Source organism: Homo sapiens, chromosome 15, assembly GCF_000001405.40.
Source record: "Homo sapiens chromosome 15, GRCh38.p14 Primary Assembly".
NCBI lineage: Eukaryota > Metazoa > Chordata > Mammalia > Primates > Hominidae > Homo > Homo sapiens.
In genome coordinates, this window is record NC_000015.10 from 90,695,227 (window position 1) to 90,722,929 (window position 27,703).

Sequence of the window (27,703 nt, forward strand, 5' to 3'; positions counted from 1 at the left end):
TGCAATGACATCTTATTGTTGTTTTATTTTGCTTTTCCCTGATGAAAGGGAAATGTGGAGCATCTTTTCATATGCTTATTTGCCATCTGTTTATCTGCTTTGGTAAGGTGTCTGTTAAGGTCTTTGGCATATTTTTGGGTTTGCTTTTGTTTTTTGAGACAGAGTCTTGCTCTATTGCCCAGACTGGAGTGCAGTGGCACAATCATGGCTCACTGCAACCTCCGCCTCCTGGGCTCAAGCCATCCTCCCATTTCAGCCTAGCAAGTAGGTGGGACAACAGGCCTGCACCACGACACCCAGCTAATTTTTATATTTTTTGTAGAGACGAGGTCTCACTATATTGCCCAGGCTGGTATTGAATTTCTGGGTTCAGGCAATCTTACTGCCTCAGCCTCCCAAAGTGTTAGGATTATAGGTACGAGCCACCATGCCAGGCCTTTGACTCATTTTTTAATCAGGTTGTTTGTTTTCTTATTGTTAAGTTTTGAGAATTCTTTGTATATTTTGGATAATGGTCCATTATCAGATATATCTTTTGCAAACATTTTCTTCTAGTCTGTCTTGTCTTTTTGTTCTCTTAAGAGTGTCTTTTGTAAAGCAGAAAATTTTAATTTTAATAAAGTCCACCTTATTAATTCTGTCACGGATCATGCTGCTGGTGTTACATCTCAACAGTCATCACCGACTAACTGCAACCTCCACCTCCCAGGTTCAAGCAACTCTCCTGCTTCAGCTATCTGAGTAGCTGGGATTATAGGCATGCGCCACCATGCCTGGCTAATTTTTGTATTTTTAGTAGAGACAGGGTTTCACCATGTTGCCCAGACTGGTCTCTAACTCCTGACCTCAGGTGACCTGCCCACCTCCAAAAGTACTGGGATTACAGGCGTAAGCCACCGTGCCCGGCTGGAACATCTCATAACACTTCTTTAGAAGATACTTGGAAGGCATGTAAAAGTCATTAATCTAAAAACATTTGGAAATTTATTTCTCCTCATTGTTTTCCCATAAATGTGAACAACCCAAAAGTTATAGATGGGCCAGGAGCAGTGGTTCACGCCTGTAATCCCAGCACTTTGGGAGGCCAAGGAAGGCAGATCACTTAAGGTCAGGAGTTCGAGACCAGCCTGGCCAACACTGCGAAACCCCGTCGCTACTAAAAATACAAAAATTAGCCAGGTGTCATGGCGCATGCCTGTAATCCCAGCTACTCAGGAGGCTGAGGCAGGAGAATTGCTTGGACCCTGGAGGCAGAGGTTGCAGTGAGCCAAGATCGCACCACTGCACTCCAGCCTAGGCGATAGAGCTAGACTCCGTCTCAAAAAAATAAAAATAAAAAACAAAAGTTATAGGTGGAATAAAAAAAATTGACAGATTTATTAGGAGAGTAGACGTTTTGATAAAAACAATCAATTAATCACCTATCAGAACGTCAGACAAAAATCAAAATGGGCACATTACACCACTTCATGCTCTAAAACCAATGAACAGACTCATCTACATGAAAGATGATAGTAAAATGTCTTTAAGGATAGTAAGGGTTCATTCAGGTGGGCAGTAATTGCAACAGTTGCAAACCCAAGTATTAGTCAGGGTCCTGGCGGAAAAGAGTTGGCAAACGCAAGAGAGAATTTTTTTTTTTTTTTTTTTTATGAGACGGAGTCTCGCTCTGCCACCCAGGCTGGAGTGCAGTGGCGCAATCTCGGCTCACTGCAACCTCTGCCTCCCGGGTTCACGCCAATTCTCCTGCCTCAGCCTCCCGAGTAGCTGGGACTACAAAAATTTTTTGTATTTTTAGTAGAGACAGGATTTCACCGTGTTAGCCAGGATGGTCTTGATCTCCTGACCTCGTGATCCGCCTGCCTCGGCCTCCCAAAGTGCTGGGATTACAGGTGTGAGCCACTGCGCCCAGCCAAAAGAGGATATTTAAGAGATGCTAATGAAGCAATTACTTACTAAAGTATAGGTAGGGTTCAGGGAACCACAAAGAATGAAACTAGCAACAGAAGGAAACCACCACCACACTTTTTAGTTGAGAGGGCAAAAGGAAGGAGAGGTTCTTGAAATCTGATGTATAGCTACAGCACAAAAGCCACCTGACAGGGGTTATGACCTTGGGCAAAGGATGCAGCCACCAGTGAACCAGGACCTGGCTCTGTACTCCCACCCTTTGATCTGTTGATACATGTCACAGGCCAAACCCAGCCTCCTGATTGACAGAGAGAAATGAGTCTGAAGGACCAATCAGAAAAAGATCTAGTACATCCAACTTCAATTTGGCTTTAAAAAGTTAGGGCATTTTGGCTGGGCATGGTGGCTCATGACTGTCATCCCAGAGCTTCGGGAGGCTGAGGTGGGAGGATGGTTTGAGACCCGGAGGTTGAGGCTGCAGTAAGCTATGATGGCACCACTGCACTCCAGGCTGGGTGACAGAGCACAACACCATCTCAAAAAAAAAAAAAAAAAAAAAGCCTCGCATGGTGGCTATCAAGTCTGTAATCCCAACACTTTAAAGAGGCCAAGGAAGGAGGATCACTTGAGTCTAGCATTTTGAGACCTGCCTGGGCAACACGGTGAAACCCCATCTCTACAAAAAATACAAAACTTAAAAAGAAAAAAAAAATCAAAAATTAGCCAGGCAACACATACGTGTGGTTCCAGCTACTCTGGAAGCTGACGTGTGAGGATCACATGAGCCTGGGGAGGTGGAGGCTGCAGTGAGCTCCAGCCTGGGTGACAGAGTGAGACCCTGTCTCAAAACAAAACAAAACACAACAAAACATACAAAATTAGTCGGGCTCCCCCTTGAGCCCAGGAGTTGAGGCTGGAGCAAGCCATGATGCGGCCACTGTACTCTATCCTGGGCAACAGAGTGAGACACTGTTTCTGAAAAAAAAAAAAAAAAGTTAGTCCGGGTGCAGTGGCTCACGCCTGTAATCCCAGCACTTTGGAAGGCCGAGGCGGGTGGATCATGAGGTAAAGAGATCGAGACCATCCTGGCTAACACAGAGAAACCCCGTCTCTACTAAAAATACAAAAAATTAGCCAGGTGTGGTGGCAGGCGCTGGTAGTTCCAGCTACTCAGGAGGCTGAGGCAGGAGAATGGCGTGAACCTGGGAGGTGGAGCTTGCAGTGAGCTGAGATCACGCCACTGCACTCCAGCCTGGGCGACAGAGTGAGACTCCATCTCAAAAAAAAAAAAAAAAAAAGTTAGGGCATTTTATTATTTCATTAAACAACATTTCCTGAAGTAGGGCAGCTAAGCCCCATGGTTGGTGGATTTGCTGACGTTGTGAAGGGCCCTCAGTCTTTCTGTCTTTCTCTTCATTCCATCCTGATCACAAGAAGGCTGCTGCAGCTCCAGATGCCACAGTCAGCCTCAGCAAGGATTAGCAAAAGAGAATGAGTCTTCCTGGGGGTCTCTTTTAAAGAATGAGGAAACTTCTTGGAAGCCTCCCCATGAAATCTGTCTCATGGGCCAGAACTGTATCACATGTCCATGCTGGGCCAATCCTCATCCAGGGAAAAGGTACCCAGCTAATCAAGATTTGCCCCTGAGCTGGGGAAGGTGTTGGTTGGCGGAGGGGAGCATAGATGTGCCTACAAAAACCAAGATTCTGCTAACGGAAAAGAGGGAAGAAAGGCTTTGTGAAGGCAAAGGTGTATGAAAAAGACTGCAAGACAATTGTGAGGTTTTTAGTAGACTGGAGGTAGAATAAAGATGTTGGAGGCTGGGCACAGAGGCTCGTGTCTGTAGTCCCAACACTTTGGGAGGCTGAGGTGGTAGGATTGCTTGAGGCCAGGAGTTCAGAGACCAGCCTGGGCAACATAGACTCCATCTCTACAAAAAAATACAAGCAGGCAGCCAGGCGCCGTGGCTCACACCTGTAATCCCAGCACTTTGGAAGGCCGAGGTGGGTGGATCATGAGGTCAGGAGATCGAGAACATCCTGGCTAACATGGTGAAACCCCATCTCTACTAAAAATACAAAAAATTAGCCGGGCGTGGTGGCGGGCGCCTGTAGTCCCAGCTACTCGGGAGGCTGAGGCAGGAGAATGGCGTGAACCCGGGAGGCCGAGCTTGCAGTGAGCCGAGATCGTGCCATTGCACTCCAGCCTGGGCCACAGAGCGAAACTCCGTCTCAAAAAAAAAAAAAAAAAAATACAAGCAGGCATGATGGCTCACACCTGTAATCCCAGCACTTTTGGAGGTGGGTGGATCACTTGAGGTCAGGAGCTTAAGACCAGCCTGGCCAACATGGCAAAACCCCGTCTCTACTAAAAATACAAAATTAGCCGGGCGTGGTGGCAGGCACCTGTAATCCCAGCTGTTCAGGAGGCTGAGGAAGGAGAATTGCTTGAATCTGGGAAGCACAGGTTGCAGTGAGCTGACATCGCGCCACTGCACCCCAGCCTGGGCAACAGAGGGAGACTCTGTCTCAAAAAAAAAAAAATTACCAGGATGGTGAAGTGCACCTCTAGTTCCAACTACTCAGGAGGCCGAAGTGGGAGGAAAGCTTGAGCCTGGGAGGTTGACGCTGCAGTGAGCTGTGACTGCGTCACTGCACTCCAGCCTGGGTGACAGAGCAGGACCCTATCTCCAAAAAAAAAAAAAAAAAAAAAAAAAAAAAAAAAAGATGCTGGGTTTACTGGGAGGCAAAGCATAAGGGTAATATGACCAGCAGAGATGAGTAAAATGTAATATTTACATATTCGACAGTTGATAGGAATTGCATTTTGGTTTTTAGAAGGAGTGCTGAGGTGGAGCAGCCCCATAAAGAGGGACACCAGGATGAAAACACAAGAAGCCTCTACCAAGACAGCTGTCCTGGCCACAGAACACAGGCTGGAGGCAAAGCAGGTATTTTCCAGCGTAAGAAGAATGATCACAGGCACTAGGGCGTTGTCTCCATTAGTCTGTGTTTGTATAATGAAGGTTGTTTTTTTTAATGGAAGAGTGAACTGCTTACTGTAATCAGGGATACCTAATGCTAGGACTCATTTAAGGGAAGAAAAAGCCTTTTAGATGTTAAGACCAAGGTAATCATTTGACATTGCTAGCTTGAGTTAGATGTAGTAGATGTTTTGTATCTGAAGTATATTTTAGTATTTACTGTCAGCTAAGGCCAGACATGTCCAAGAAGCTATGCATTTGTGAACTTGTGGTGAGCCCAGGGCCCTTGAAGATACCTACTTCTCTAGAAGAAAATGAGTGTCTCTTACTGATTTGTCATGTTCAAGTAATGGACTTGGAACAGACATAATTATGATTTATTTTAATAGCTTTGTGGCCCTTTTGTACACAAGAAGGAAGGTAGATTAAGAAATCTCTTTTGGCCAGCCACAGTGGCTCACGCATGTAGCCCAGCACTTTGGGAGGCCGAAGTGGGTGAATGACTTGAGGTCAGGAGTTCAAGACTAGCCTGGCCAACATGGAGAAACCCAGTGTCTACTAAAAATACAAAAATTAGCTGAGCATGGTGGCGTGCACTTGTAATCCCAGCTACTCAGGAGGCTGAAGCAGCAGAATTGCTTGAACCCAGGAGGCAGAGGTTGCAGTGAGCCAAGATACACCACTGTACTCCAGCCTGGGCGACAGAGTGAGACTCTGTCTCAAAAATAAATACATTAATTAATTAATTTCTCTCTTTTGAGGGCAGGGTATGGTGGCTCAAGCCTGTGATACCAGCATTTTGGGAGGTGGGAAGATTGCTTGAGCCCAAGAGTTCAGGACCAGCCTGGGCGACAAAATGAGACTGGGTCTCTATTAAAAAATAATTAAACATTAGCTGGGCATGGTGTTGCATGTCTGTAGTCCCAGCTACTCAGGAGGCTGAGGTGGGAGGATGGCTTGAGCCCTGGAGGTCAAGACTGCAGTGAGCCATAATGGCATCACTGTACTCCAGCATGGGTAACAGAGCAAGGCCCTGCCAAAAAAAAAAAAGAAGAAATCTCTTTTGAGGCCCTTTAATGAGGGGGAGACCAACAGAAGGCTGCTAACATATTGCATAAGAACACAATTTCCAGGAAACGTTCTGTTATTTAAATCACTCTTAAGAATTAGGAAGTCCAGGAGCTCTGGGCTGAAATTGCAGATTAAACATGCACATCTAGATCCATTCCCCCAAAAACCTACTATAGTAAAGTGACTGTATATATAGTAAAAACTACAATAAGTCTACAACAATGAGAACAGAACAGATGACAGCAGGTCAGGCGTGGTGGCTCACGCCTATAATCCCTGCACTTTGGAAGGCCAAACCGGGTGGATCACTTGAGCCCAGGAGTTCAAACCGGCCTGGCCAACACGTTGAAACCTTGTCTCTACTAAAAATGCCAAAAAAAAAGTAGCCAGGCATGGTGGCACACACTTATAATCCCAGCTACTTGGAAGGCTGAGACAGGAAAATTGCTTGAACCTGGGAGGCAGAGGTTGCAATGATCCGAGATTGCACCACTGCACTCCAGGCTGGGCCACAGAGGGAGACTGTCTCAAAAACAAACAAACAAAAACAAAAAAAAAAGAAAAAGAAAAAAAGATTAGCCAAGCTTGGTGGCACATGCCTGTGGTCCCAGCTACTCGGGAGGCTAAGATGGGAGGATCACTTGAGCCTGGGAGACGGAGGTTGCCGTGAGCCAAGATGATGCCACTGCACGCCAGCCTGGCAGGCAGAACAAAACCCTGTCTCAAAAAAGAAAAACAAACAAACAAACAAACAAAAAGAGAGAGAGAGACAACAGCAGCAAGCTTTTGGAACCTAGAAAGCAGAAGAGTGGTGACTGTCTTAGCTGACCTAAGAAGGAACCATTCTTGGGCCAGTAGTGGGCAGGGTTCTCCAGAGAAACAATAGGAGGCAATAAGGGGTGTGCGTGTGTGTGTGTGTGTGCGCGTGTGTGTGTGCGAGCGCATATGTAGGAGAGACAGAAAGAAAAAGACAAAGACAGTGAGAGAGAAAAGGAATTGGCTCGCATGATTATTTGGCTGGTAAATCCAAAATCTGTAGTGTGGATGAAGAGGTATTTTTCAGCAGACCAAGTAAGTCAGCTGTAAAATACCTCTTGCTGGGGCAAAAGGTCAGTCTTTATTCAGGCCTCCAACTAACTGGATGAGACCACCCACACTATGGGGAATGTTATGAACTGAACACTTGTGTCCCCCCCAAATCACATTAAAGCCCTAACCCTCAGGGTGATGGTATTTGGAGATGGGGCCTTTGGGAGCAACAAGGGCATATGGGAGCCCTCATTATGGGATTAGTGGCTTTGTAAGAAGAGACACAAGAGATCTCTCTCTGCACCACGTGAGGAAGACACAGTGAGAAGGCAGCCATCTGCAAGCCAGCAAGAGGCTCCTCACCAGAAGGTAAACTGCCTAGCACCTTGACCTTGGACGTTCCAGCCCCCAGAACTGTGAGAAATGTTTCTGTTGTTTAACCAGCATGTGTATGGTATTTTATTATAGTAGGCTGAGCAGACCGAGACAGAGAGCAATTGACTTCACTCAAGTCTACTGATTTAAATGCGAATTTCTTTTTTATTTTGTTTTTGTAGAGACAGGGTCTTGCAGTGTTGCCCAGGTTGGTCTCAAAACCCGGGCCTCAAGTAATCCTCCCACCATGGCCTCCCAAAATGCTGGGATTACAGGCATGAACCACCAGATCCCACCTAAATGCTAATTTCATCCAAAAACACCCTCACAGAAACACCCAGAATAATGTTTGTCCAAATATCTGGGCACTTGGCCCAGTCAATTTGACACATATTAACCATCACAGTATCCTAAAAAGGCACAGAAACTGACAGAACCCAGGCATCTCTGGAATTGGGAGTGAAAGGAGGTCCAAAATAATGAGAACTGGGTGAAAGCAGTTTGAGATGCAGCTAGATCCTGAGATCCCCTCACCCACTCCATACTTATTAGCAACTGCCCCTCCCTTGTCTCCAAGAAGAGGCATTAGTACCTACAGATGGTAAAATAAAGGTCTGTGGACTGAGGAAACCAGGCATAGTTGAGGATGTGAGTACTGTACCAAAAATAAGGGTTTAAGTGACTACTGCTATTGAATGTTAGATGCTGAGTCCAGCTCTATTCTCCCACTGGGCTCCCTGAGCATTACCAGGAGATTGGAACATTTAAAGAGGCTTCTCTGGGGAATCCAAGCGGCCTGAAACACCTAAATAAAGTGATCCTGGAGGTATCCCAACATAGGGCCTCCCCAGGGCACATGATAGTGACAAGCACAATTCGTAAGCCCTACCCAAATTCCCATTGGTCTTTAGTCCCTCTCTTATAATGATAAGACAAGCAAATATATCCAGATATTTGATATTGTTCCACGGATCTCTGAGGCTTGCCGTATTTTTCTTCAGTCCTTTTTCTCTCTGTTTTTCAGACTGGATCATTTTTCTTGATCTGTCTTTAAGTTGCCTATCTTTGTCTTCGGCCTTCTCTATAAGAAGTCAAGTCCATCTTAAATACTTTTTGTTTCAGTTATTATACTTTTCAGTTCTAGAATTTCTAGATGGTACTTTGCTATAATTGACATTTATCTGCTTGGTGGTTTTTTTTTTTTTTTCTTTTTTTTTTTGAGAAAGAGTCTTGTCCTGTCGCCTGTGCTGGAGTGCAGTGGTGCAATACCGGCTCACTGCAACCTCTACCTCCCAGGTTGAAGAGATTCTCCTGCCTCAGCTTCAGTAGCTGGGATTACAGGTATGCGCCACCATGCCCGGCTAATTTTTGTATTTTTAGTAGAGAGGAGGTTTCACCATGTTGGCCAGGCTGTTCTCAAACTCCTGACCTCAAGTGATCTACCCGCCTTGGCCTCCCAAGTGCTAGGATTACAGGCAGGAGCCACCAGCTTGTCTGCTTGGTTTTCTATTCATTCACTCATTAAGATCTTTCCTGGCTGGGTGTGGTGGCTCATGCCTGTAATTCCAACACTTTGGGAGGCCGAGGTGGGTGGACTGCTGGAACCCAGGAGTTTGAGACCAGCCTGGGCAACAGGGTGAAACCTGTCTCTGCCAAAAAAAAAAAAAAAAAAAAAAACCAAAAATTAGCTGGGCATGGTGGTGTGCACCTGTAGTCCCAGCTACTTGGGAGGCTGAGGTGGGAGGATCACTTGAGCCCTGGAGGTTGAGGCTGCAGTGAACCAAGATCATGCCACTTGTACTCCAGCCTGGGTGTCAGAGTTAGAACCTGCCTCAAAAGAAAACACCTTTCCTGCTGGGTGTGGGGGCACATGGCTGTAGTCTCAGCTACTTGGGAGGCTGAAGCAAGAGGATCTCTTCAGCCCAGGAGTTCAAGTTCAGCCTAGGCAATGCAGTGAGACACCGTCTCTTAAAAAAAGAAAAAAAGACCATATTTTCCTTTAATTATTTAAACATATTTTCCTTTTCTTTTTTTAGACGGAATTTCACTCTTGTTGCCCAAGTTGGAGTACAATGGCGCGATCTCGGCTCACTGCAACCTCCGCCTCCCAGGTTCAAGAGATTCTCCTGCCTCAGCCTCCCGAGTAGCTGGGATTACAAGCACGCACCAACAAGCCTGGCTAATTTTTTGTATTTTTAGTAGAGATGGGGTTTCACCATGTTGGTCAGGCTGGTCTCGAACTCCTGACCTCAGGTGATCCACCCACCTCAGCCTCCCAAAGTGCTGGGATTAGAGGCTTGAGCCACCGCGCCTGGCCTAATTATTTAAACATATTTTCCTTTAATTCTTTAAACACACTTTCCTTTAGAATTTTGAACATATAATAATTTCCTTAAAGTCTTTGCTAAGTCCAGCATCTGGACCACCTTGTGGTCAGCTTCTATTGATTGTTGTTTTTGCTATGGGTCATATTTTTCTGTTTCCTTGTATGTTTAGGAATTGTAGATTGTGTCAAGGACACTGGATGATACATTGTAGAGGCTCTGGATTCTGTTATCTGCCTGACCTCTATTATCTGCTTTGCTCTCAACTGGGTAGCAGCCTCTCTCTGGTAACCCTCAGGTAGTCTTCCCTACACATGTACAGCCCAGTTTTCAGCTAAGAACTCATGAGAAAGCCATGGTGTGGATCTCTGCCTCCCACATAAGCAGCTCCATTCTCTCCAGGGCCACGACTTATGGACTGCAGCGGTTTCGGCAGCCCTTCACTCTGATCTCTTCTCAACACAGCAGGGCATCCCTACTCTGCCAGAATTCCAGCTTGCTATGCTGCAATTGGAAAGCTGTCGCCAGCAGAGAGACAGAGAAATTGTGGGAAACATCTCATCAGTGATCTTGGGGATTACTGTCATGCACTGCCTGTTGTCTATTGTTTGAAAATGGTTGCTCATAGCTTTTGGGCAGTTTCATGGTTGTTTAAGGCAGAAAGGCTAATCTGATAATAAGAATTCCATTATAGGCTGGGCCTGATGGCTCACGTCTGTAATCCCAGCACTTCGGGAGGCTGAGGCAGGAGGATTGCTTGAGACCAGGAGCTCAGGACCAGCCTGCGCAACATGGTGAAAGCCCGTCTCTACAAAAAATACAAAAATTAGCTGGGCGTGGTGGCACATGCCTGTGGTCCCAGCTACTTGGGAGGCTTAAGTGGAAGGATCACTTGAACCCAGGAGGTCAAGGCTGCAGTAAGTCGAGATGGCGCCACTGAACTCCAGCCTGGACAACAGAGTGAGATGCTGTCTCAAAAAGAAAAAAAAAAGAAAGAAAATTGTATTACAGTTGGAACCCTTACCTGATATGTTTTTCTTTTCTTTCTTTCTTTCTTTTCCCTTTTTGAGACAGGGTCTTGCTCTGTGGCCCAGGCTAGAGTGCAGTGGCATGAGCTTGGCTCACCACAGCCTTGACCTCCTGGGCTCAAGCAATCCTCCAACCTCAGCCTCTGGAGTAGCTGGGACTAACAGGTGCACACCACCATGCCTGGCTAATTTTTTATTTTTTGTAGAGACAGGGTCTCCCTACGTTTCCCCGGCTGGTCTTGAACTCCTGGGCTCAAGTGATCTGCCTGCCTTGGGCTCCCAAAGTGCCAAGATTACAGCCATGAGCCACTGCGCCGGCCTTGTTTTTATTTTCTTCTAGTATCCTCCCTTCCCCCCGCCTTCAGCCATTTAAGCAATCTATGTGTCTATTGGCTCAGATGAGAGATGAAATGGTAACAAAAGTGGAAAACACTCCGAAACAATAGTTTCTGAAAGAAACTAAACCTATTCTTAATAATAGGTAATAATAGGTAAAGTTCTTTAGGGAGACCAGATTAAAAGACCCTTAAGCAGTGGGAGACAGAAGTGAGGCACTGATATGAGAGAGCAGTGACAAGGTGGCTCCAAGGAAGAAAGGCCTGAGGCCCTGATTCCTGGGCTGCATGCCAGGGAACAGCAGGACCCCAGAGATGGCACTGCGTATAGGGTGTTTTGGTTGGCAACGCCACAGGCACTCTAAGATGTCCATGCCCTTGTTTGACACTGAAGCAACAGAAAGATTCCCATGGCCCCCAGGCTGTAAATAGAAGTGGAGGGAGGATGCCCCAGATTTGAAGAAGGCATAGGCACAAGAACAGGCCACTTCTGTGTGACCTATGAGGAAAGATGATTATAAGGAAAAATTGCCCTCCAACTCACATCTTGGCACAAGGTAAGACCCTAGAACTCACGCACCATCCAGCAGGAAGGAAAGAAAACTCCAAATTTTGGGCCAGGCATGGTGGCTTACGCCTGTCATCCCAACCCTTTGGGAGGCTGAGGCGGGAGGACAGCTTCAGGCCAGGAATTTGAGACCTGCCTGGGCAACACAGTGAGACCTCTACAAACAAACAAACCTCACATATCTAAGATTAATTTGCTGTTATCTAGCAGACTGGGAACTCAAAACACACGTGAAGTCATTACGTTAAAATAGTTTGTTGCACACCTGATTTGGCAGACTGAGATTATGTTATTATAATAATAAAGGTCACCATTTAGAAGGACTTTACTGAGTTACATCCACTGTCTCATTTAATCTCATCTCATTTAATGGGAGTCTATTCCCTCATACTCCCTGTGATGATTCCTGTAACATGGTAGATATGCATGCCTGAGGAAAAATTAATTTTTCATAGCTGGGTGCAGTGGCTCACATCTATAAACCCAGCACTTTGGGAGGCCAAGGCAGGAGGATCGCTTGAGGCCAGGAGTTCAAGACCAGCCCTGGCAACATAGCGAGAACCTGTCTCTGGAAAAACAATTTTTTTAAATTAGCTGGACATGGTGGCATGTGCTTGTACTCCCAGCTAAACAAGAGGCTGAGGCAGGAGGATCACTTGAGCCTAGGAGTTCAAGACTACTGTGAGCCATGAATGTACCACTGCACTCCAGCCTGGGTGACAGAATGAGACCCTGTCTCCAAAAGTAATAACAGCAATAATAATGTATATTTACTCTATACCAGGCATTATACCGAGGGCCTTACGTCACTTAATCTTCATACTAAACTTATGAGACATGTATTACTATTTCTATTTTACAAATGTAGAAACCAAAATTCAGAATTGTAAAGTGAGTGTGGTATTTAGATTCAAATCTGGTGGAAGCTTTATTTTATGTTACTTGCAATCTGTGAAGAAAAAACTAGATCCAAGATTCTAACAGGAATTTATATAATATGATTACAAAATGAGTTTATTTATAATTTAAATAAACAAAATTCCCTTTTATTTTCTACAACAAACATGCTAAGATTATGTGAGTAAACTTCTCGGCTAAATATTGTATTCTAGGGAGACATTAAACAAGAACTTTGTAGTTAACATTGTTCTTTCTGTTTTATCTTTCTGTACTTACAGACATTTTCTTTCTTTTTTTTGAGACAAGAGTCTCGCTCTGTCACCCAGGCTGGAGTGCGGTAGTGCGATCTCCGCTCACTGCAAACTCCACCTCCTGGGTTCAAGCGATTCTTTTGCCTCAGCCTCCTGAGTAGCTGGGAATATAGGCATGCGCCACCACACCTGACTAATTCTTGTATTTTTATTAGAGATGGGGTTTCACTATGTTTCCCAGGCTGGTCTCGAACTCCTGACCTCAAGTGATCCACCTGCCTCAGCCTCCCAAAGTGCTGGGATTACAGGTATGAGCCACTGTGCCCTGCCGACTAATACTTTTTTATTGTATGCCAAATACTGTGTATAAAATAACCTTAAAGGTCGAAGTTAATAATATTTTTCTCTGAATGGTTGACTCTATTTTCTGTTGGCCCATGTACCTCAAAAGAATGATAATTCTATCCAATCAGAAATTGAGCTGATTTTGGAAGAGTTACGGCTTTACTTAGATGTGGTCCACCTCTGTTTTTAATTATCTTGAGAGAGTGAGACCTGTCATGTATTTTTTGCAGGCCCCTCCCTTCAGAGGGACTCCACATTCCAAACTAAGAGACTGCAGATCTTACTCTGCCTTTCCAGCCTAGGTCTCGAGCTTAGCAGCTCTTGGCCCCCAGTCTACCCCAGCACTCAGCAAATATCCCATGGGAAAAAAAGCCTCTTATCTAGGCTCCTTTAGACTCTAATCTGTTAACAATAGCCTGAGAGGCCATCAAAAGTTCAGTGTAAACCACACTCAATCTTCAGCTTTGACAAATGCACCCAGGGAGAAAAATGACCAGCAATCCCAGTTCACCTAGCAATGGGCTCTTCTTTCTCTGATCCCACTGCTCTCTGATGTTCTTATGTCTTTAAAAATAGGACTTGGGCCAGGCGCAGTGGCTCACACCTGAATCCCAGAACTTTGGGAGGCCAAGGCAGTTCAAGACCAGCCTGGCCAACATGGTGAAACCCCATCTCTACTAAAAATACAAAATTTAGCTGGGCATGGTGGCACACACCTGTAGTCCCAGCTAGTCGGGAGGGTGAGGTGGGAGAGTCACTTGAACTCAGGAGGCAGAGGTTGCAGTGAGCTGAGATGGCGCCACTGCACTCCAGCCTAGGTGACAAGAGTGAGATTGTCTATAAATATATACACATGTGTGTGTGATTTGTATAATTTATCCTTTTTTTGTATGTGTGCGTTTTTGTTTTTCTGGTTGTTGTAGCAGGAGTGACAACCTACTGATACCTACTACATCCTTCCTTGTGAATAACAACGTATATTCTCAGAAGAGCGTTGTTCTTACCACTGAATATCTCAGACTGCTTCTAACATATTCTTAGAAAACATAACAAAAGGCAGACTATGTATAACTTTAAGTTTAATTGAGATCTTTCTCCACCTACCTGGTCTCTTAACAGTGTTCTTTGTTTACTTTGCTCCTGAGTGGTTAGGAGTGTAAATATCTTACTAGCACAGTACATTGAAAATTCAATGTATTTGCTATAATAGGATTTGTTCTTCCTAAGGGCTTTATAAAATAAACCTCGAGTTTTTTGTATTTTTAAAAGTCTGAGCTGGGCACAGTGGCTCACACTTGTAATCCCAGCACTTGGGGAGGCTGAGTCAGGAGGATTGCTTGAGGCCAGGAGTTCAAGACCAACCTGGACAACAGCAGGACTGTCTCTACAAAAAATAAAAATAAAATGTCTGTATTTAATATTATTGATAGGTAACATTCTCACATGTTCAAATGTCAAAAAATATGAAAGGGTATACAGTGAAGTATTTCTTTTTTTTTGAGACAGAGTCTCACTGTCACCCAGGGTGGAGTGCAATGACACCATCTTGGCTCACTGCAACCTCTGCCTCCTGGGTTCAAGCAACTCTCCCACCTCAGCCTTGGACTAGAGGCGCATGCCACCATGCCCAGCTAAATTTTGTATTTTTAGTAGAGATGGGGTTTTGTCATGTTGGCCAGACTGCTCTCGAACTCCTGGCCCCAAGTGATCCGCCGGCCTCGGCCTCCCAAAATGTTGGGATTACAGGTGTGAGCCATCACGCCTGGCCACAGTGAAGTATTTCTATGACTCATTCCTCCATCTACCCAGTTCCCACTCCCAACAGGTATTCATGATTATTAGCTTCTTATTTATTAGAAAAGTTTAAATGAATATGCTAGCTGACACATATCCGAATCATTTTCCCCCATTCTCTAAATAAACATAGCATCCTATGGCTACTGTTTTGCAGTTCGCCTTTTTTTTTTTAAGTATAAACGGGAATTAATTGGCTTATATGACTGCAAAGTCCAGGACGTGGCTGCCAGTACAGCAGGATCCAGGGCCTCAGACAATTAATTCCACCAAAACCCAGCTTCTCTCCTTCTCTTGCCTGCACTCTCCTCTCCGGTGGCTGCATCCTCAGGCAGGCTCCCCTCCTAGTCCCACATCCAGGATGACACCTTAACAGTTTGGGAACTCCAACAGAAAGGGCACACCTATTACCACATTCCCGGTAGATTCTAGCCAAAGTCCTGTGGAGGGCTCTCATTGGCCCAGCTGGAGTCATCAGGCCAAGCCAGTAGGATATACTGATTGGCCAGGCTGACGTGGCAGGGCCACCCCTGGTGTTCCAGGCTTGAGAAGTCAGTCCCACATTGGCATGAGTTTCCTGGCTGAATTGAGAAAAGTGGCTCTCCAAAGCCGTGTCAGGCTGCTGTAAGTGGATGATTTTCCCCAGGCAAAGATTACAGATGTCTACTGCAAAAGGCAGTGTTTTTGATGTCTTTTTTTTTGGCTCTTTCATGCCAGGAAGCTGCTATTATGCCAAACGCATCTGTGGCTCAGGCCATACAGGACCAAACGAAAAGCCAAAGTTGTTTACATCTTTCCTATGATCTTGTTTTTGTGGGCGCCCAAAAAATTATATTACAAACCCTCCAACTAGTCCCAAGTCCATACCTCTAACTACCCCCTTTTTCTAACACAAAGCCAATATTTCCCCTGCCCTAAATTAACCCAAGGCTAGGTACTACAGAACCCCTAGAGATACCGCTAATCTCCAAAACCCACCAGAATTATTCAGACCACCCAGTCCCAAACTTTCCCTGCACTGCCTTGCCTTCCCTGCTGAAACGCTAATAAAGGTTCTCGTTTAAGCTTTCCCTTCACTCCCTTCTGCCTCCTGACCAAACCTGGTGCTTCTTCTCCATGTGGCCCTGCATGGCGTGGTGTGTCCCTCCTCTCAGGAAATGTGGATAAATTATTCCTTCAAAGCCACTAGTCTCTCTGTCATCAGTCAGTCGCTTCTATAAATTAAAATCCTACAGGTACAACTGAGAGAGGGGCTGCTGCGACTGAGTTTTCAGTCCTGGAAAACCACACTTTTTTTTTCTGTCTCTGCAAGGCTTTGGCAGTCTCTCCTCTCCACCCCCTTATTAATGCTGGCCTCTGTTTCACAGGTACCTCTCTACACGAGCAGGTGCAAATTGTCACTGATGGGGGAAACATGAAACAAACTCAGATGCCTCCAGGGACACGTGAGAAGCCACACTTGTTTCAGCCTATTGTTCTCTTGAGGGAATGTGGGCCCTGTGATGATGCTAGATCTTTCTTTTCTTTCTGTACCTTCCTCTCTTCTTCCCTCTCTCCTTCCTTCCCTCCTTCTCTCCTTCCCTCACACCCTCCCTCCCTTTCTTCTTTCCTCTTTTTTAAGAAAAACTGAAAATCTATTTCTGTTTTGATTGGAGCTTTTGTGTGTGTGTAAAATATGTTGTGTGTGTGTTTTTTTTTTCCACAGCAACTGCTTTTTGTGTGTGTGGTAAAATATGTATGAAATAAACTGCCATTTTAACCTTTTTATGAGTAGAACTCAATGGCATTAATTACATTCAAAATGCTGTACAGCCATTGCCACAATTTCTAAACTTTTTCATCCCCCCAAATGGAAACTATGAACCCAGTAAGCAATAATTCCTCATTCTTCCCTCCTTCCTACTCTCAGTTCCTGAAACCTCTAATCTACTTTCTGTCTCTATGAATTTGCCTATTCAAAATCTTTCATATAAATGGAGTCAGATCGTATTTGTTTTTTTGTGTTGGCATATTTGACTCAGAATGTTGTAGCATGTGTCAGAGCTTCACTCCTTTTCATGGCCGAATGATACTCCACTGTATGGATATACTACTTTTTTTTTTTTTTTTTTTGAGATGGAGCCTCGCTCTGTTGCCCAGGCTGGAGTGCAGTGGCACGATCTTGGCTCACTACAACCTCCACCTGCCAGGTTCAAGCAATTCTCCTGCCTCAGCCTCCCGAGTAGCTGGGGTTACAGGAACACGCCACCATGCCCGGCTAACTTTTTTGTATTTTTAGTAGAGACAGGGTTTCACTATGTTGGCCAGGCTGGTCTGGAACTCCTGACTTCAAGTGATCCACCCACCTCAGCCTCCCAAACTGCTGGGATTACAGGTGTGGGCCACTGTGCCCAGCTTATTAGATATACCACATTTTGTTTATTCATTCATCTGTTAATGAACATGTGGGTGAAATATGTCAATTTTTACTTGTTGCAAAAACAAAACACACCTTTTTTTTTTTTTTTTTTTTTTGAGACGGAGTCTCGCTCTGTGCCCCAGGCTGGAGTGCAGTGGCGCGATCTCGGCTCACTGCAAGCTCCACCTCCCAGGTTCATGCCATTCTCCTGCCTCAGCCTCCCGAGTAGCTGGGACTACAGGCGTGTGCCATGACACCTGGCTAATTTTTGTATTTTTAGTAGAGACGGCGTTTCACCATGTTAGCCACGATGGTCTCAATGTCCTGACCTCGTGATCTGCCTGCCTCGGCCTCCCAAAGTGCTGGGATTACAGGCATGAGCCACCGCGCCTGGCCAAAACACATCATTGTTAAATAACTCCTCAGGCTACCCTTCTCTATGGGAAAATGCAGAGTAAATCAACAGATTTTTAATAGCAAAATGGCCAAGGAAAAAGCAGGATAGAGACAACGCAAAGATACAAACAATCTACCAAATGAATAAAGCCACTAATGTTACTTAGGCTCAAACAGTATCCCCCAAAGTGAGAGGCTGGATACTCACAACTCGATAAAGGGTGACATTCACCTGATATTGTTGCTGTCTCACATGGCCTTAATCATCTTATTGCTTTTGTCTTCACTGTTCTTCAATTTTGTGCCCTTCTCTAGTGCCAGCCATTGTGGTAGGCCCTGAAGAACACCCTCATGGAGAGCATATTCTGTAGAGGAAGACAGGCACACTAATAGTATCAACACAACCAATACAAATGCTGACTGCTGTTATGGGAAAACCTAGGAGGGATACACAGGCAGATTTGGAGGATTAGGTAAGGCTTTCCAACTTCCCAACTTCTCCAACAACTTGCAGAGAAGTTGTCCTGAGACCTGAGAGATGAATGAGAGGTATGATTTGGAGGCAAAGGCCAGGAAACTGGAAAGACTATAAAACACCTTGAGGAAATGACAGGAAAATGGGGATGAGGGACAGATGACATATGAGAGGAAGCAGGGACTCAATCGGAGTTTGGTATTCACCTTGAAGGCAAATGGGAGCTGCTGGAAGGATTCTGTGTTTTTTTTTTTTTTGAGACAGATTCTCACTGCTGCCCAGGGTGGAGTGCAGTGGTGTGATCTCAGCTCACTGCAACCTTTACCTCCCACCTGGAAGGTAGATGTTAGCGTAGGGTGGTGAAAGGCTTGTGCACTCATCTTAATCTTAAATATATACCTTGGCCAGGCAAGGAGGCTCACGGCTGTAATCCCAGCACTTTTGGAGGCTGAGGCTGGCAGATCGCCTAAGGCCAGGAGTTTGAGACCAGCCTGGGCAACATGGCAAAACCCCATTTCTACTAAAAATACAAAAATTACCCAGGCGTGGTGGCATGTGCCTGTGGTCCTAGCTACTCAGGAGGCTGAGGTGGGTGAATTACTTGAGCCTGGGAGGTGGAGGTTGCACTGAGCCAAGATGGCACCACTGCATTCCAGTCTGGGCAACAGAGGCAGACCCTGTCTCAAAAAATAAAAATAAATTTTAAAAAATTGAAAAAATACATATCTCAATGATTGTATGTATATAATGATTTTATATATAAATGATTTATATATTACTTTATCTATATTAAATGTCTATATAAGACAGATATGTAATTTCCAGCACTCCATAAGATTTCCTTGGGAGCTTCCTCATCTACCTCTGCCTCCAGGGGTAACCTGGTATGCACTATATACTCTTTTTCTCTTTTTTTTTTGAGATGGAGTCTTGCTCTGTCGCCCAGGCTGGAGTGCAGTGGCGTGATCTCGGCTCACTGCAAGCTCCGCCTCCCAGGTTCACACCATTCTCCTGCCTCAGCCTCCTGAGTAGCTGGGACTACAGGCGTCCGCCACCATGCCTGACTGATTTTTTTGTATTTTTTAGTAGAGACAGGGTTTCACCGTGTTAGCCAGGATGGTCTCAAATCTCCTGACCTCGTGATCCACCCACCTCGGCCTCCCAAAGTGCTGGGATTACAGGCGTGAGCCACTGCGCCCGGCCCTATATACTCTTTTATCTACCTCTTTTTGTGCTCAGCATAGTGTCTGAGCTTCATCTATATTGTATGTACCAGTAGTTCATCCTCCTATTACTTTGTAATACAGAAAAAAACTGAGAAAAGCTTTGAAATGGTCTAAAACAGATTACTGGGGCCAGGCATGGTGGCTCAAGCCTGTAATCCCAGTACTTTGGGAGGCCAAGGCAGGCAGATCACCTGAGGTCAGAAGTTCATGACCAGCCTGGACCACATGGTGAAACCCCATCTCTACTAAAAATACAATAAATTAGCCAGGCGTGGTGGCACGTACCTGTAGTCCCAGCTGCTCGGGAAGCTGGGGCAGGAAAATCGCTTGAACCTGGGAAGTGGAGGTTGCAGTGAGCTGAGATCACACCACTGTACTCCAGTCTGGGTGACAGAGCAAGACTCCATCTAAGACAAACAACAAAAAAATGATTACTGGGTGTCATTGAAAAACAAGGTGCCCAGCTGTCCAGCTTACTTTTCTAGGATGTCTGATTCTATGAAGACTCTAAACCTTTCACTGTCTTTGAGCTACAGAACAACTATACAAACTATAGACACTTCTTGTCTATAGAAATGCAAATTGTGGCCGGGCACGGTGGCTCATGCCTGTAATCCTAACACTTTGGGAGGCCAAGACAGGCGGATCACCTGAGGTCAGGAGTTCGAGACCAGCCTGGCCAACACGGTGAAACCCTGTCTCTACTAAAATACAAAAAGCTAGCTGGGCATGATGGCGGGTGCCTGTAATCCCAGCTACTCGGGAGGCTGAGACGGGAGACTCTATTGAACCTGGGAGATGGTGGTTGCGGTGAGCCGAGCTTGCGCCACTGCACTCCAGCCTGGGCGGCTGAGTGAGACTCCGTCTCAAAAAAAAAAAAAAAAAAAGAAATGCAAATTGTTTTCAGTAGAATGCAATTGATTACTAAGCTGTGGATTTCATCAGTTCTGCCAGTTTTTGTATATATTTGTAGTTATTTCATTATTCCTCATTTGACTATGTGTGTGGTACTTTGAATTTTCCATTGAAGCAGTTGTAATCTTTCTGGATATCTCATTCATTAATGAGTTAAATAAAATCTCTAACATTTATTTTATATCTGTATTATATTTGATATTAAAATTATTCTTCAACAGTAGTATACAGTTATATGAATAAGCTGCAATTTATCTATTCATCTATTGGTGGACATCTGGGTTTTTTCCCTTTGGCTATTATGAATAAAGCTGCTATGAGTCTTTTGGTGAATAAAGGCATTCATTTTTTGGGGTAAATATCTAGAAATGGGATTTCTGGGGTATAGGGTAGGGGTAAATTTGATTTCAGTAGAGACTGATGTTTCCAAAGTGGTTGTACCATTTTACACTCCCATCAACACTGTATGAGAGTCCCATTTCTGCATCTTTGCAACTAAGGGAATTGTCAGTCTTTTCATTTCAGCTATTCTATGGAGTGTTTAATAGTATCATATTTTGGTTTCAATTTACCATAGAAGATTTTCAGGAGGGAGGTAACTTGAACAGATTTTTACATTTTAGAAAACTCTTTCTGCGTATTATGTGGAGAATGATTATTTGTATACCAAAGTTCATAGCAGCATTATTCACAATAGCCAAAAGGTGGGAATAACCAAGCATCCATTTATATGGATGAATGGATAAACAAAATGTAGTATACATGTATAATGGAATATTATTTAGCCTCAAGAAGGAAGAAATTCTGATACATGCTACAACATAGATGCTCCTTGAAGACATTATGCTAAGTGAAATAAGCCAATCAGAAAAGAGCAATTATTGTATGATTCAATTTATATGCGGTACCTCGCACTTACAGACAGAAAGTGCAATATCGGCTATAAGGGGTTGTGAGAAACGGGTAACGGGGAGTTACTGTGTAACAGGCAGATTTTCTATTTGGGATAATGAAAAAGTTCTGGAGATGGATAGTGGTGATGGTTTCACAACAATGTGAATGTACTTAATGCCAGTGAACTGTACACTTAAAAATGGTGAATTTTATGTTAGATAGATTTTATCACACACACAAAGAGGAGGGAGGGCGGGAGGGAAGGAGAGAGGGAAGGAAGTAGAGAGGGGAGAAGAGAGGAAGAAAGGAAAGAAAGTAAGATCTGGCATCACAGGGCCCACATTCCCGCGTGTCAGCAATAGGCTGAAACAGAAGCATGGTTTCTCACGTGTCCATGGAGGCATCTGAGTGTGTGCCCACTTTCCCGGTTCAATGACAATTTGCACCTGCTCGTGTAGAGGGGTACGGGTGAAACAGAGACCAGTATTATTAAGGGGATGGAGAGGAGAGACCGCCAAAACATCGCAGAGACACACCGTCGGAACCAAGAGAATGGGGTGCAGACGCCTGGCTTGGCCTGTGGGAACTGGCAAGTCTCAGCTCTCAAACGCCCGGGCTTTTCAACCCGCCACAGCCGGGTTCCAGCTGCCTACTTCCTTTAAAGCCTTCACCGACTCTAAAACACCAAAAACAAAGACCCAACTAGCTCCGGAAGCCCGAGATGTAACCGTAGTCATCTGACCCTCCCGTCCGGACTCTGATTGGGCTTTGGAGATACGCGTCCCTCCCGGCGCTGTACGGCGACCCCGCCCCAGCAGCCTGAGGGGGCGGGAACAGATGTCCGAGTGCGACAGTATTGGTCGGCTTCCCCAGGAAGCAGCCAATCGGAATAGGCAAGCTTCCGGCGGGAAGTGAGCCAGGGCTTGGCGCGGCGGCCGTGGTTGCGGCGCGGGAAGTTTGGATCCTGGTTCCGTCCGCTAGGAGTCTGCGTGCGAGGTGAGTACCGCGCGCGTAACTACGGGTCGGTCCGCATTGATCTAGCCCTGCTCTGGCGGCCCGGCCCGGAGCTGGAGGCCGCTCGGGTTCTTCCGTTTCCTGCACTGGTTCGCCTCGGCCCGCTGAGTCCTCTAGTCTGGCCAACATCCTGGGAGGACAGCAGATACATAAATACGTTCCCAAATGGGGAAACAGAGGCCCGGGGCGGGGGCGAACTCTGCCAAGGTCTCCCGGGGCGTCGGAGGCCGAGCATGGGCTAGGACCTGGCATGTTGTTGCCCATATACTCCAGTGCGTAACATGATGCCCTGCACAGAGTAATCCCAGCCCAGACCTCTGGCACTACTACCTCCGTGTCCCTCCTGAGGAACAACGAAAACACTTTGTACTTTTTCTGTGGCCTTCCATAATCACGAGCTGGGCTACTCTTGTTTTTGAGTGTCTACTGTGTGCCATGTTCCTGGCACCCTTGATCTTACAACTGTAGCTTTACGATATCCCAGCAAAGCGAAGTGCTTAAGAATACTGCATCAGATTGCTTGGGTTCGAATTCTGGCTCCTTCACATTTAGCTCTGTGTCTACTGCACGTTACTGAAACACTAAGTGTCTTGGTTTTCGTCTGTCATATGGGGGAAATGGTCTCTTCTACTTCCTGGCGTTTTTGTTAGGATTAAACGACTTAATATATGCAATAATAAATGCTTCGAAGGCTACCTGTTACATAGTACACAGTAAGGGTTCTGTTATCATTACCCAGAGAAGCGGATGAAATTGTCCCCATTTTAGACATGGAGAATCTGAAGTACAAAGAGGTTGTCTCCGTACAGAAAGAGCATTTGGTGATTAAGTGCTAGAGATACAGGATTTGAACTAAGCGCCTGATTTTAAAGTATGTCCCACAACATTAGGCTTTCTCCTATAGCCCTCACCTGTCCTTAGGTCACACAGAACTTTAGGTACCTCATGGCGTGAGATGGAGCAGGTGACTGACAGCTCCTTGTGCCACCCATGCAGATAAATAACACTGGTGTGTCACTGTCAAGATTAAGGGACAGGAATTCGAGAGACTGCATGAGAGATCAGAAGATGAAGAAGCGGGTAGGCAAAAGTATTCTGTTTGGGGAATAGTAAATAGAATTAATTAAATCAACATTTTGTTAGCTGGGCTGCTTATACTGTCAGACAGTAGCTTATAATCTACTGGGAAGAAATGAAATTTCTGGGTCCTGTGTCACTTTCAATGCCACTCACCATGACAGGTACCTTATAAGTATAGTTTACAGTCCTATCAGTAACCTGGAGAAGTAGTTATTTCCTTCGTTTTACTGAGGAAACCAAGAGTTAAAAAATCAGGAAAAGTGTTAGATGTGCAGTAGAACATCATCATGCTGGGAAGTTCTACACATCCGCTTCAGGACAGGTGGTATTACCTATGAGCAGGAAGGGAAGGGAAAAAGGTAAGGGGAATGAGTGATAGTTTATTGTTTTGATTTTTAAATTTTTATCTGTTTTTTCCTTTTTCATAGTCATTCCTGGAATGAGTGAGTTTGTTTTTGTTTTTGTTTTTGGGGGATGGAGTCTCGCTCTGTCGCCCAGGCTGGAGTGCAGTGGCGCGATCTTGGCTCACTGCAAGCTCCGCCTCCCGGGTTCATGCCATTCTCCTGCCTCAGCCTCCCAAATAGCTGGGACTACAGGCACCCACCACCACGCCCAGCTAATTTTTTGTATTTTTAGTAGAGACGGGGTTTCACTGTGTTAGCCAGGATGGTCTCGATCTCCTGACCTCGTGATCCGCCTGCCTCCGCCTCCCAAGGTGCTGGGATTACAGGCGAGCCACCGCGCCCGGCCATGAGTGAGATTTTAAATATATCTGAAATGAGGCCAGGCACAGTGGCTCACACCCATAATCCCAGCACTTTGGGAGGATGAGGCGGGCGAATCACCTGAGGCCAGGAGTTCGAGACTTGCCTCACCAACATGGCGAAACTCCCTCTCTATAGTAAATACAAAATTATCTGGGCGTGGTGGTGTGCGCCTGTGGTTCTAGCTACTGGGGAGGCTGAGGCACGAGAATCGCTTGAACCCAGGAGGCTGCAGTTAGTCAAGATTGCACCACTGCACTCCAGCCTGGGTGACAGAGTGAGAGTCCGTCAGTCAATCTACCTGAAATGTTTTATGCCTTTAAAAGAGAGAGAATAGGGCCGAGTTTAACTTTTTAAATTTGGTTGGTGGGTACATGGGTGTAATTCTATTTTCTGTATCTTTATGTAAGAAATATTAAAAATTAAAAGATATACATATATATTTTAATTTACATATATATGTGTTTTTTTCTAAGAGAAAAATGGATAGAATAAAGAGGTCCAAGATAATCGTAGAATAATCCTAGGACTTCAGTGCTGAAAGCCCCTAAGGGTCTCCACTACCTGTAGGATAAAATCTAAACTCCTTGGCATGATACCAGAGGCTTTTGAGCATTCTGTATCGCTAACACATACTATTCTACCTCAGCCTTTGTACCACTAGTTCATAGACTACTCTTCTTCACAACCTCAGTCCTGTCTGTAAAGTTCCACTTGTCCTTCAATATCCAATTCAGTGTTCTTTGAAAAGCTTCTCTATCATTTGCCTGTTTTTCCTTAATCTGGGAAGCCATAGTCTTTTAAGAAAAGACTTGATTGTCAGACTTATCTCGTTGCATTGTAATTATTTGTTGACATGTCTATTTTCTGCTAGTCTATAAGCTCCTTGAAGGCAGTAATAATGTCTTTCCCATCTCTGTACTTCAGTGCCTACCATGATGCCTGGCACAGAGTAGTCACTGTAGATATTAGCTGAATGAAAAATACAAGTTGAAGACAGAGAGTGAAAGTTCTTGGAGTTATGACATATGGACTTTGTTCTCTGGAATGACAGGGAACTATTGAGTTTACTTTCTTTAAAAATTCCCGTATTTTATTGAAACATATTCTCAATGTCAAGAAAAATATTCCAGTCATAATCCTATCTTTCAAACACTTGAACTATTTTTATTTTCCATGAGTCCTTTCCAAATTTCAGCTATAAAATTAGTTATACAGATTTAGCTATACAGATTTCTTAGGTAGCTGTAGCCTTAATGTATTCATAACTTAGTGTTTTTCTTTTTTCTTTCTTTTTAAACCTGACACTTGAGGAATTTTTTTTTTCTTTTCTTTTTTTTTGAGATAGGGCTCACTGCAGCTCCAGCCTCCCGGGCTCAAGTGATCCTCCCACCTCAGCTGGGAGTACAGGGGTGTACCACCATGCCTGGCTAATTCTTGTATTTGTTGTAGAGATGGGCTTTTGATTTTTTGTAGAGATAGGGTCTCGCCGTGTTGTTCAGGCTGATCTCGAACTCGTAGGCTCAAGCAGTTTGCCCACGGAGTGCTGGGACTACAGGTTTGAGCCCACCGCACCTGGCCTGCTTTTTTCAATATTAAATTATTTCCTGGCTGGGCGCGGTAGCACATGCCTATGATCCCAGCACTTTGGGAAGCCAAGGTTGGGGATTGCTTGAGCCTGGGAGTTCAAGACCAGCCTGGGCAACATGGCAAAACCCCGTCTCTACCAAAAAATAAAATAAAAATCTAAATAAATTATTTATTTTAGTGAATCAGTCTTTATGCTTGTCATTTGTCTTATAAATTTTCGCAATATTCCTCTCTCTTTGGTTTAATAGGTATGAAATGATGCTCCATGTTATTATTAGAAAAATTTCACAATTTTTTCATAAATTTACTTAGTGTCTGTATATTCTGGTGAGCTGTTGTGTTTATATTCCCTGAACATTTGTTCACTGGAACTGGATGTTCTTTATGTGTTTTTAATATTAATCATTTATCTGTTATTTGTTGCTAATTTTTCTTTTCTTTTTTCTTTTTTTGAGATGGAGTCTCATCCTGTTGCTGAGGCTGAAGTGCAGTGGCGTGATCTCAGCTCACTGTAACCTCCGTCTCCCGAGTTCAATCCATTCTCCTGCCTCAGCCTCCTGGGTAGCTGGGATTACAGGCACCCGCCACCACGCCCGGCTAATTTTTGTATTTTTGGTACAGATGGGGTTTCACCATGTCAGGCTGGTCTCAAACTCCTGACCTTAGGTGATCTACCCACTTTGGCTTCCCAAAGTGCTGGGATTACAGGTGTGAGCCACTGCATCCAGCCTAATTTTTCTTTTAAAAATATTTTTATTGGCCGGGCACAGTGGCTCGCGCCTGTAATCCCAGCACTTTGGGAGGCCTAGGTGGGCGGATCATGAGGTCAGGAGTTCGAGACCAGTGTGGCCAACATGATGAAACCCTGTGTCTACTAAAAATACAAAAATCAGCTGAGCATGGTGGCACATGCCTGTAATCCCAGCTACTTGGGAGGCTGAGGCAGGAGAATCACTTGAACCCAGGAGGCAGAGATTGCAGTGAGCCGAGATCACACCACTCCACTCCAGCCTGGCGACAGAGCAAGACTGCATCTCAAAAAAAAAAAAATTTTCTTTATTATGACAACCAAGATACATTTGTAAAAATATACATAATTTCGCTGGAAACCAAGAGTTAAAGTGGCTCACGCCTGTAATCCCAGCACTTTAGGAGGCTGAGGCAGGTGGATCACTTAAGGGCAGGAGTTCGAGACCAGCCTGGCCAACAGGGTGAAACCCCATCTCTTTTTTTTTGAGACAGAGTCTCACTCTCTCTCCCAGTCTGGAGTGCAGTGGCGCAATCTTGGCTCACTGAAAGCTCCGCCTCCCAGCTTCATGCCATTCTCCTGCCTCAGCCTCCCAAGTAGCTGGGACTACAGGCACCTGCCACCAGGCCCGGCTAATTTTTTGTATTTTTAGTAGAGACCGGGTTTCACTGTGTTAGCCAGGATGGTCTCGATCTCCTGACCTCATGATCCACCCACCTCGGCCTCCCAAAGTGCTGGGATTACAGGCATGAGCCGCCGTGCCCAGCAAAAAGCCCATCTCTACTAAAATACAAAAATTAGCTGGCCATGGTGGCCCATGTCTGTAATCCCAGCTACTTGTGAAGCTGAGGCAGGAGAATCACTTGAACCTGGGCAGCGGAGGTTGCAGTGAGCCTAGATCAGGATCACGCCATTGCACTCCAGCCTGGGCAACAGAATGAGACTCTGTCTCAAAAAAATAAAATAATTTAAAAAAAGTTACATAATTTAAAGAATAGTTACAAAGAAATTACAAAGTTTAGTTATGCATAAAAATTATATTGTATTCATGGTAAATTGAAGACTCATTATAAAATTATAGTTACACATAACTATCATCTAGATCAAGAAAGAAATAGAATATTACCAGGATCCCAGGACCCCAGAAGTGTATCTTTCTGATACCTCCTCCCTATGTTAGGGATAACTATTGTCCCAATTATGTATTTATTTATTTTGAGACGGAGTTTTGCTCTTGTTGCCCATTCTGGAGTGCAGTGGCGCGATCTCGGCTCACTGCAACCTCTGCT

The 27,703-nt window shown here is 44.9% G+C and overlaps 1 protein-coding gene and 1 long non-coding RNA gene across 6 annotated transcripts in view; one reads left to right on the forward strand and one right to left on the reverse strand.

The window, feature by feature from the left end:
- Window positions 1-21,914, reverse strand: part of CRTC3-AS1 (CRTC3 antisense RNA 1) — a 97,132-nt gene extending 75,218 nt beyond the window's left edge. The window contains exons 1-2 of the long non-coding RNA NR_120372.1: window positions 21,755-21,914; window positions 17,941-18,073 (exon numbers count right to left, since the gene is read on the reverse strand). This is a non-coding gene — a long non-coding RNA (CRTC3 antisense RNA 1). The remainder of the gene's footprint in view (window positions 1-17,940; window positions 18,074-21,754) is intronic.
- Window positions 22,120-27,703, forward strand: part of BLM (BLM RecQ like helicase) — a 98,821-nt gene continuing 93,237 nt past the window's right edge. For all 5 annotated transcript variants that reach the window (NM_001287246.2, NM_001287248.2, NM_000057.4 and 2 more), the window contains exon 1: window positions 22,120-22,214. The gene's annotated coding sequence lies outside the window, so the exon portion shown is untranslated. The remainder of the gene's footprint in view (window positions 22,215-27,703) is intronic.